Source organism: Homo sapiens, chromosome 16, assembly GCF_000001405.40.
Source record: "Homo sapiens chromosome 16, GRCh38.p14 Primary Assembly".
Taxonomy (NCBI): Eukaryota; Metazoa; Chordata; class Mammalia; order Primates; family Hominidae; genus Homo; species Homo sapiens.
Genome location: NC_000016.10, coordinates 5,014,175 through 5,024,843, shown reverse-complemented (window position 1 = coordinate 5,024,843; position 10,669 = coordinate 5,014,175). Strand labels below are relative to the sequence as shown.

At 52.5% G+C, this 10,669-nt stretch overlaps 1 protein-coding gene across 3 annotated transcripts in view; it reads right to left on the bottom strand.

The window, feature by feature from the left end:
- The window catches only part of SEC14L5 (SEC14 like lipid binding 5), a 60,828-nt gene continuing 55,845 nt past the window's right edge, over positions 5,687–10,669 (bottom strand). For all 3 annotated transcript variants that reach the window (XM_024450497.2, XM_024450498.2, NM_014692.2), the window contains exon 16: positions 5,687–9,985. In XM_024450497.2, the coding sequence (XP_024306265.1) occupies positions 9,874–9,985 (112 nt within the window). In that variant the 3' untranslated portion in view covers positions 5,687–9,873. The remainder of the gene's footprint in view (positions 9,986–10,669) is intronic.

Here is a 10,669-nt window from a genome sequence, read left to right as displayed (position 1 = left end):
TCATGGACTTAGGTCACTGCTAGGGCTTAGCAGGTGTGGCTTATCCTGAAACAGAAGTCACAACGGCATCCTGGAGCCAAGTCCTGTTCCCTGCTTGTTTAATCCAGTGCTTATCAAACTTTAATATGCCACAGGTCACGAGGAGATCTTGTTAAAATGCAGATTTGGGCCTGGGGTGAGGCCAGCAATTCTGCGTTTCCAACAAGCTCTCTGACGATGCTGATGCTTCAGGTCCCCAGACCACACTTCTTGTCTTTCTTAGAAACAGGGTCTCGCTCTGTTGCCCTGGCTGGAGTGCAATGGCACGATCTCGGCTCACTGCAATTTTGACCTCCTGGGCTCAAGTGATTCTCCCACCTCAGTCTCTCAAGTAGCTGGGACTATAGGCACATGCCACCATGCCCAGCTAATTTTTAAAATTTTTTTTGCAGAGAAGGGGTGTCACTGAGTTGCCCAGGCTGGTCTCAAGCTCCTGGCCTCAAGTCAACCTCCTGCCATGGCCTCCCAAAGTGCTGAGATTACAGGTTCGAGCCACTGCGCCTGGCCCCTGACCATAATTTGAATGACCAGGGCTTAGTTTTTCCTCACAGTATTTTTATAGAATTTAAATTAGTTACCCATGTTTAAAAGTCAAGAGATTTTAAAATAAATAAGGGCGGGGGTGCAGTGGCTCACGCCTGTAATCCCAGCACTTTGGGAGGCTGAGGTGGGCGGATCACCTGAGGTCAGGAGTTCGAGACTAGCCTGGCCAACATGGCAAAACCCCGTCTCTACTAAAAATACAAAACAGGCATGGTGGTGGGAGCCTGTAATCCAGTTACTCAGGAGGCTGAGGCAGGAGAATCGCTTGAACCCGGAAGGTGGAGGTTGCAGTGAACTGAGATCGCACCGCTGCACTCCAGCCTGGGCAACAGAGCAAGACTCCATCTCAAAAAGTCCAGAGATTGACAAAAATTCCAGCTTGCTGGTTTCTCTTTAAAGATCTGGCAGCCCTGGTGGGCGCCTGCACAAGTCACCAGGCCAGCTCAGATTCAGGGAGAAGGGAAACGGGCTCTGCCTCTTAAAAAGGAGCTGCAAAGTCAGGCGCCTTAGAGTCATTCAGGTGTATTCCTAAGAGCAGTTCCCAAGCCTGGCTGCAGATCCTGGAATCTACAGGGATCACTCTCAGTCTGACGCCACGGCCACGATGATGGCCATGATGACCATCCTGAAATGACCCTTGGCCTGAGAACCATGACCTCTGAGGGGACATCTCTGTTGTGCTGGCGGCTAAGTTGGAAAAGTGACAGTCCTGTGCACTGGAATCCAGGCCCAGAGGCAGCAGTACCTGAAGAGGGCCTGTCACAGCAAAGTTAGAGGGGTCCCAGGTCAGGTGACTCAAACATGCCAAGCGGTGTGAGTCCTGTGGCCCCTGGAATTTTTTTTTTTTTTTTTTTTGAGACAGTCTCATTTTGTTCCCCAGGCTGGAGTGCAATGGTGCAACCTCGGCTCACTGCAACCTCTGCCTCCCGGGTTCAAGCGTTTCTCATGCCTCAACCTCCCAAGTAGCTGGGATTTCAGGCATGCACCACCATGCCTGGCTAATTTTTGTATTTTTAGTAGAGGCGGGGTTTCACTATGTTGGCCAGGCTGGTCTCGAACCCTTGGCCTAAAGTGATCCACCCGCCTGGGCCTCCCAAAGTGCTGGGATTACAGGTATGAGCTGCCGCACCCAGCCTGTAATTTCTTTTTAATTTGTCATTGTGTTATTGATTTTCTTTGCCTGCCCGACATCCAGTCTCTCTTCTAGCAACAGCCCTGTCTTAGGCTAGGATTCCCCAGATGCAGAAACTAAGACAAGGAGGTGAGAGCAAGTACTTTATTGGGGAGGCGGCCCCAGGAAGCACTGGTAGAGGACAGGGAGGGAAGGCAGCCTGTGCAGAGTGCAGGAGTGAGCAAGTCTATACTGTAGGCAACAGGGGCTCAATCCTGCTGGGGGCCTCTGGGACAGTTGGTAGAACAGGTCTTGGTTGCACCACACAAGGGCGAGGAAGCTGGGGTATTTATCAGCCAACACCCATTCATCATTGGTTGAGGGCCGCTCCTGGGGGTTGACTCCCTGGCAGTGCCAGTCTGCCCTACCCAGAGACCGAATGTGCCCTGGCAACCACAGGGAGCTGTGGGAAAGTTGCAACATCTTGTGACCTGAAGCCTTCCATGGTAATGAGAGTGCCCGGGGAGGTGGCCACTTCTGCCTCCTGCTCCACGTCCTATCTAAGGTCTGCCGTCCAAAATCTAAATGCCTGAGCCCCAAAATGTGCCTCTCCTGTAACAGTACAAGTGTCACACGTTTTGGGTTGCCGGAGACCCCAAAACCCAGGAGCCCTGGCTGTGAGCCTCTAGCGTGTTGCTATCAGGGTAGTACCTCTCCCCCATTCTCCATCCAGGTGGTTTGGGTGGCACTGTCTTCTCACCCCAAGTTGCAGGTGGGCCTGAGAGATTGGTCCAGAGTTAGGCACCTGCCCCGGGTCAGCCCGTCAGAGCCCATCGTGGAACTTCTGCTGCAGCTGGAAGAAGAAACTCTCTCTGCTGGGACTGTCTAACTTCCAAGGTTAGACACAAGGAGGGCCACAAGGTGGGCCAAGGTGGGCCACAAGGAGGAGGAACGGAAACCAACTCTTCTCCAGTGTGGAGAAGACCTGATCAGAACCAAGAGATGGAGCGGGTGAGCCAGTGTGGAAAACGACTAGACTGAGGGTGTTGGGGTGGGGGTGGGGGGACATGATTTGAATGCCTGGATCCAGCTATACCTGAAGCCAGCCAGATCATTCTTGGACTTCCGAATTACATGAACCCATAAATTCCCATTTTTTGCTTGAGGCAATTTGTATTGGGTTTTGGGGTCTCCGGCAACCCAAACGTGTGACACTTGTATTGTTACAGGAGAGGCACATTTTGGGACTCAGGCATTTAGATTTTGGACGGCAGACCTTAGATAGGACATGGAGCAGGAGGCAGAAGTGTCTGAGATTCCAGTACCAACCTATGGTGCTGGTGGGGACACAAATATACAAGAGCTAAAGTCATCAAACTGCAGGCAAGCCGGCTGGGGATTCATGTGCTCCGATCCCAGCAGCATAAGGGTCCCCTCCCCCACCCACAGTAGTGACTCAAGACCCCCAGGCACAGGCACGGTGGTCTTGGACTGCACACTGAAGTCTCTGCAGCTCAACTGGGAACCCTGAGAGTTCCACATGCTGGGCCATCGCCATGGTGACACGTCTCAGCTTCTGGGGTGCTCTGCACAGAACTTTAGTATTCGGAAAGACCCCAGAAAGGTTCCCATCCTGGCGTCAATGGGTGGGCTTTCAAGGACTCTTTGGGGCCCCAAAACAAATGAAATTCGTGTGTGTGTCCTGAGTTCTCATGGGATTCTCCAAGCAGTCTGTGTCCGGAAAAAAAAAAAAATCCTGGCTTAGAGGTTTCAAATTGTGCTTTTTGCCAGCTTGGGCAACATGGCCCCGCCGCTACAAAAAAATACAAGAATTAGGCATGGTGGCGCACACCTGTGGTTCCAGCTACTTGGGGCTGAGGTGGGAGGGTCGCTTGAGCCCGGCAGGTTGAGGCTACAGTGAACCATGATCATGCCACCGCACTCCAGCCTGGGTGACAGAGTGAGACCCTGTCTCAAAAAAAAATGTGACTTTTGGGGATCCGCATTCCTCCAAAATGCCTTGTTGGGGGCTGGGCACTAAGGGAGGCAGGGAAGTGAGAGGGAGAAGTTGGTAGCCACAGCCTCTGACATCCCTGGAGGCCCTGGGCTCCCTTCCTCCCAGGCCCTACCCCAGCTCCCACTGCAGCTGCTTGCGTCCAACCTGGCTCCGCAGAGGTCCCAGGGGTCTGTGCCCCAAGAACTGATCCCAGAGGCAGCCTCTGGGCCACAGGGAGCCCTGGGCATGTTTTGCTCGCTCTGGGTCCAGGCCCCAGGAGGCCTCCAAGGAAAGCGCTGTGGCTGAGACAGGCATCAGCAGGGCCCCACAGCTCAGGCCTGATCCCAGCTCCCGCCCACCCTCCGGAGCTCCATCTTCCCCCACAGGGCTGTTCTTTCTCGATACCCGCCGCACCCACGAGTCAGCTGGCTGTTCCTTTGAAACCCGCCACCCACAGTTCCAGAGAAATCCACGGAAGAGTCACCGCCCATGAACACACGCAAGTGCAAGCCGCCTCCTCTCCCCTGACGAGCTGTGCTGGGCAGGGCTGGGGAGCAGAAGCTGGGTGGACAGATGGCCCTCGTGCCATCACACAAAACACCACACCTGCTCTGCTCTCACAAATGACAACCCCAGCCACCAGCTCCAAAACGACGAAGGCTTTTCAGAGTCCCAGGATCTGTGTGGCAGCCAGCTCCACTCTCCGTGCCCCAAGAGAGCTCACGGGAAGGACAGGTGGCACCCTGGACAGGGTTCATCACAACCTTCTGACGTCAGGACTGTGGCTGTTTTGGGATGCAGCTCTCCAGGACACCAGGTCTGGCACTTTGGTAAAACCCCAGGGGGAGGGCAGGGCAGCCCAGGAGAGATGGGCACCAGGGATTTTCATATCTGTTTAATGCAGATATAACTGTGTATCTGGTTAGCTATTGTATGCATACATAATAAGTTGAGTAGCATGCCCCAAAATTCATGTCCATCCGGAACCTTAAAATGTGACCTCGCTTGGAAGTAAGATCTTTGCAGGTGGAATTAGTTAAGGATCTCAAGACGTTATACTGGACTTAGGATGGGTCCTAAATCCAATGACTGGCATCCCTACAAGAAGAGGAGACACAGAGAGAGAGGAAGGCCATATGATGATGGAGGCAGAGACTGGAGTGATGCAACCACAAGCCACGAGGTGCCACTAGACACTGGAAGAGGCAAGGAAGGGTCCTCCCCTACAGCCTTCAGAAGGAGCAGGGCCCTACCTCCATGGTGATTCCGGACTTCCAGCCTCCAGAACATTCCTGTTGTTGTTGTTGCTGTTGTTGTTGTTTTGAGACGGAGTCTCACTCTGTCACCCAGGCTGGAGTGCAGTGACATAATCTTGGCTCACTGCAAGCTCCGCCTCCCGGGTTCACGGCATTCTCCTGCCTCAGCCTCCCGAGTAGCTAGGACTACAGGCGCCCGCCACCATGCCCGGCTAATTTTTTGTATTTTTTAGTAGAGACGGGGTTTCACCATGTTAGCCAGATGGTCTCAATCTCCTGACCTTGTGATCCACCCGCCTCGGCCTCCCAAAGTGCTGGGATTACAGGCGTGAGCCACTGCGCCTGGCCTATTTCTGCTTTATATATAAAAATTGTGATCCTCCCTCACACGGCCCAATAACCAATCTTGAGAACCTTAACTAATTACACCTGCAAAAACCTTATTTCCAAATGAGGTCACATTCTAAGGTTCTAGGTGGACATGAATTTGGGGACATGCTATCCAATCCATTACATATGTATACAATATATATGATACACAATTATACCTGCATTAAACAGATATGCAGCCCCTTGGGGGTGATATCACTCCGGTTGCAAATGCTCTAAAGCAAGGGTGTCCAATCTTTTGGCTTCCCTGGACCACATTGGAACAAGAAGAATTGTCTTGGGCCACACATAAAATACACTAATGATAGCTGATGAGCTGAAAAAACAAAGAAAACACACACACAAAAAACCTCAGTATTTTAAGAAAGTTTACGAACTCGTGTTGGAGCACATTCAAAGCAGTCCGGGGCCGCGTGCAGCCTGCAGGCCACAGGCTGAACAAGCTAGCTCTAAAGTCTTTTAAACAACAGCTGGAAAGTTCTTGAACGAGCCCACGGGAAACCTCCAGGGTTTTAGGAAGCTGACGATGCAAGTTTATCCAAATGGAAAACATTTAATGCTGCTGGTTGGAGCAAGTGATCAGGCAAACAAAAAAACCCATCGTGTTTCACTGGCTCAAAGAGACTTTGTTGAAAACAATTATACTATTCTCATTGGACAATAAATTTTACAGCAGGGAGGGGGAATTCCAGAGAGTGCAGGGTAGAAAAAAAGAGTCTCAAACTCTCCATACTTCAACCTCTGGGAAAAAACATTTTCTAACTGCCAAGGGAAATACCACTCAGAATACACTCCCTCAGATGGGTGGACTTACCCAGAAAACACAAGCAGCTTCTTTCTTCTTTTTTTGAGACAGGGTCTTGCTTTGTCACCCAGGATGAAGTACAGGGGTGAGATCATGGCTCACTCCAGCCTTGACCTCCAAGCAATCCTTCTGCCTCAGCCTCCCGAGCAGCTGAGACTATAGGCACGCACCACCACGCCTGGCTCATTTTTTAATTTTTTGTAGAGACAGGGTCTCACTATGTTGCCCAGGCTGGTCTTGAACTCCTGCACTCAAGCGATCAGCCGGCCTCAGCCTCCCAAAGTGTTGGGATTATAGGCATGAGCCACCACGCCCCGCCCACACAAGCAGTTTCTAAAAGAGAAAGACTGCACACCCAACTCAGAGGGCAATAATTCTTGACACCTACTTTTCTCTGGGTGCAATAACGAAAAACAGGGATAGGCGACCTCAGGAAGAAAACGAGTCTTTGGATGCGAAGCATTAAGTAATCAGAATGACCACTGACATTAATGGAGCGCTTTCTGTGTTCTGGGAGCTGTGCTGAAAGCTTTACAGCTACTCCCTCATTTCGTCCCACTACAACCTATTGAGGTAGGCACTGCTATCCTCACTTTACAGATGAGGAAACTGAGGCACAGAGAGGTTAAGTCACCTGGTCAAGGTTACACAGCTAGTGAAAGGAAGGCTGGGGTTTGAGTCCTGGCCTAAATTCAAGGCCCAGGTGCCCAAACACCAACAGTAATGCTGCTTGTGGGTTGCTTCTGTCCTGGTCACAATGGATTAATGAACTAATGATGCAAGAAGCCCAAGCCAAGGCACTTCCAGCCTTTGTGGCTCAGGGGAAATTCAAAAGCCAAAAGCTTGGCAATCCCTTCCTTGGATTATTTTTAATTCCAGTCCTCCCGAAGGCAAGAAGAATGACCTTGATAATGCTTCCACGTGGGTCCCCGAGACCTCCACATGGGAGGAGAGCCGGCCGTAGCAGATGCCACCATGGATACCTGCTGGTTCTGTGGTCCAGCTTCTCTTGTCCATTGGGGGAATGGCCCTCCCCAATCCTGCTGCGGCTTCTGCAGGGAATGTCAATCACGGGACCCTAGTTCCTTGCCAGTGTGGCCCACAGGAATAAGCATGTGACTCGAGCTGGGCCAATCAGAGCCTTCCATGAGATTTGAGATGGAAAAGCATCTCTTAGAGTGTGAATCCTGAAATTATAGGCTTGGGGCTGCTGGCAGCCATCTTTCCCGCCAGGTGGAAGAAAGAATGAGGTCAGCATGCAAAGAGATGCAGAGTCAAGAGGCCTGGGTGCAGTTGAGAGGCCTGAGGACATTAAGCTCCTGGATCCAGCCATATCTGAAGCAGCACCCACCTTCAGCCATCCCTAGTACAGGACCCAGGGAATTTGCTTTGTTGCTTAAGCCAGTTTGGGCTGGTTTTCCCTAGGGAGAGAGCACTCTCAAGAGCAGAACTGAAAGGGCCTGAGGTTCCTCACCCCCACTGTTAAGGGTGGACAGCTGATAGCAGACTCCCCTCCCCCCACCCGCCTCTGGAACAGGCAGTTCCAGCTTCCTTCCGTAAAAGGCTTCTGTGTCCTTCTCTGGGGCTAGACAATAAATGTATAAAGACTGCCAGGGCAGCTTATCCCAGCATACTTGTAGGATAACACCTAGTTTTTAAGAGAAAAGCTAGAAATTCACTTAAAGATAGTTGAAAATATTGCAAGTTGCTCTCAGCAATAAATGCCTGGTGATATGGGAGCAATTAGTTTTGAGAACGTCTCCTTCCAATCAGTCGGTCTCTTATGCACACATGTGCACACACACCTTGACGCAGAGTGCAAAGCAATCTATTTTGTTCAGATACCTGAGAAGCGGACAGAGAGCCAACAGGAAGGTGGGCAAGGCTCTCTCCCAGCAGGAAGAAGGATGTATCTGAAAAGATGACACTTTCTCTCTTCCTTGGGTTTGGGGTTGAGGCTGGCGTAGATATAAGTTTCCTGGCCCTGCATTGCTGAGCCTGCATAAAGATGATTCTTGTGGCCACAAAACCACCCCTTGGCTCAGTTACTGCAGCAGAGATGAGCCCCAACTCTAAGCAAGGCCAGGAGACAAGGGTACCAGCCACTGCTGACAGAGCCATGTCAGTGAGACTCCTGCCACGCAGGTCATGAGGATGTGTAATGTGGGCTGGGCGCAAGTCAATGGGGTAGGGACTGGCGTGGCCACATCCAGGGGTGCAGAGGTGTTGTCTTCATGCAACAATAGTGACCCCATTCTGCTGGTGCTCCCAAATGCCTAAGGGAAGCCAGAAATCCTGATTTCGATGCGAAATGCCTCAATTTTTAAACCATTCTAAAGGCAAAAAAGCAACACTAAAAGCAGGCCAGATCAGGCTTCAAGTTGGTGACCCCTGACTGGCTGCCTTTTGGGGAGTCCAGGAAAGGAAAGGAGAAATGTCCTCAGGCCCCAAGGAGACCCAAGACGCTCCTGTGTAGTAACTAGGGGAACTCATGTCAATATTGAACCTAGTTCCAGAGTCATATCTGCCCCAGGGCAAACACAGCAGCCTCCACTCGCGGGGGGAATCGAGACTCCATGTTGAGACCCTGGATCTAGCCTTACCTGAAGCAAGCCCTCCTGGACTGGCCAGTTCTATGCACCCATGAATGATCATGCTTTTGTGTTGAAGCACCTGGGCATGGGTCTCTGTGGCTTACAACCAAAAACAGTCATAATTAAACAGTTCCCTAGGAGAGAAAGGCATCTCCAGTGGGGTATACAGACAGCCTCAGTCACCCCATCACTGCCTGGAACTTAGCAGAAACCCAGGGCTCTCCCACCCTCTCCAATCAGGGATGGTCAGGCTTAGGCCATGCTGGCCAAGTGCAGGGAACATGGATTTTCACTTCAGGATGTGCTGTTCCCCACAAAGAGCAGCGCCTGTAACTCACTTAACTGCTCACCAAGCACATCTTGATACTGCATAACAGAACGTTATGCAATCAGATGCCAAGGTAAACACCCTTCATTTCTGCCTCCCCAGCATCCTTCCTCCTTCTTCTTAGGGGGGACCCCAGTACTCCTCGAGGCACCCACTAGTGCTTTTGAGAGCAGGTGGTTGGTTCCAGAGATGTGCATGTGATCCAGGCTGGCCAATCACTGCACCTCACTGCAACCCTGGATCACGGTGATTGGTCCAGATTGGGCATGACCCTGCTGGCCAATCAGCATTCTCCAGTGTGCCTGGCAACTGTGATTGGTTCAGGAATTGACCTGGCAATCGCTCCCCCTTCCAGGCTAAGACTCAGCTCTGGGAAGTGGGCTGGAGCCTTTGGGAGGAAGAGGCTCTCTTATGCAGGCAAGCTGCAGGGAGGAGAAGGGCACCTGATAGTGATGGTCCCCTGCATGGCGAAAGCAGAGCAAGAGGTGGACAGAGAGGAGATGGGCCTGGCTGACGTCGCTAAGCCCGGATGTCCCAAAGGTGTGGTATGGTAGACACCTTGGCCTTGGCTTGGTCTTCCTTACACGAAGCCGGAAGGAGATGGTTCTGTCCTTGCAATTTCAAGAGCCCTGACACCACCCACAGGCCAGTTCTGGATCCTTGCCATCCGCTCCAGACACCCCAACTTGGGCAGCATCTAGGCCTGGGGCTCCAGCCCACATGGTCCCAGGCCCTGCAGTTAGCTGGCTTCTCATTCTGGACATTTCTGGACACTGGAGGCGAGCGGGCGGCCCTGAAACACTGGGCCCGGCTATCTGGAGACCAGGGAGCTGCTATGAGACTGGCCGGAGGAGGAGGACGAGGTGGCGGCGCTGAGCTGGGAGAAGCCGCTGGTGCAGGATTCCAGGCTGGACATGGAGCCCCTGGGGAGGAAGGGCGTGGCACACGTTACCCTCTCACAGTGACAAGGCCCTTGGGCTGACACACAGCAGTGGAAAAGCTGTTGATGCTGCAAATCAGGCCCCAGGGCCCCAGGCCGATGCAAAGGGAAAAGCAAGTGACGCCATGAAGAGAAAAGCACTACCGAATTCCCCACACTCCCATCTCCCCAGATGGAGCCCAGCCTGCCACAGACCCATCAGGGGCTCCCCTGGCCTGAGGCCCTTGCATGGCCCTAAGGCCGCCACAGCCCAGGGAGTCCCCGGCCCTGTCTCCAGTCTCACTCCCTCCTTACTCTTTGCACTCAAATTCCATGGTCCTCCTCCTAGCTCTTGCAGTGGCCTTCGTGTGCGCTGAGCCTGAGGCAGAAGCCCATTCTCTCCTCCCCCAGCTGTCTGGTTAACTCCTACTCCAAACCTCAGGGCAGCGCCATCCTCGAGAACTTTCTTTTCTTGTATAGAGACGGGGCTCTCACTATGCTGCCCAGGCTGGTCTCAAACTCCTGGGATCAGGAGATCCTCGTGACTCGGCCTCCCAAAGCACTTGGATTACAGGCGTGAGGCACCATGCCCACCCTCCAAGAACTTCCTGCGATGAACGTGCTGTACACCTGCACAGTCCAACACACCAGCCACTGGCCACATGGGCTGCTCATCACTTGAAATGTG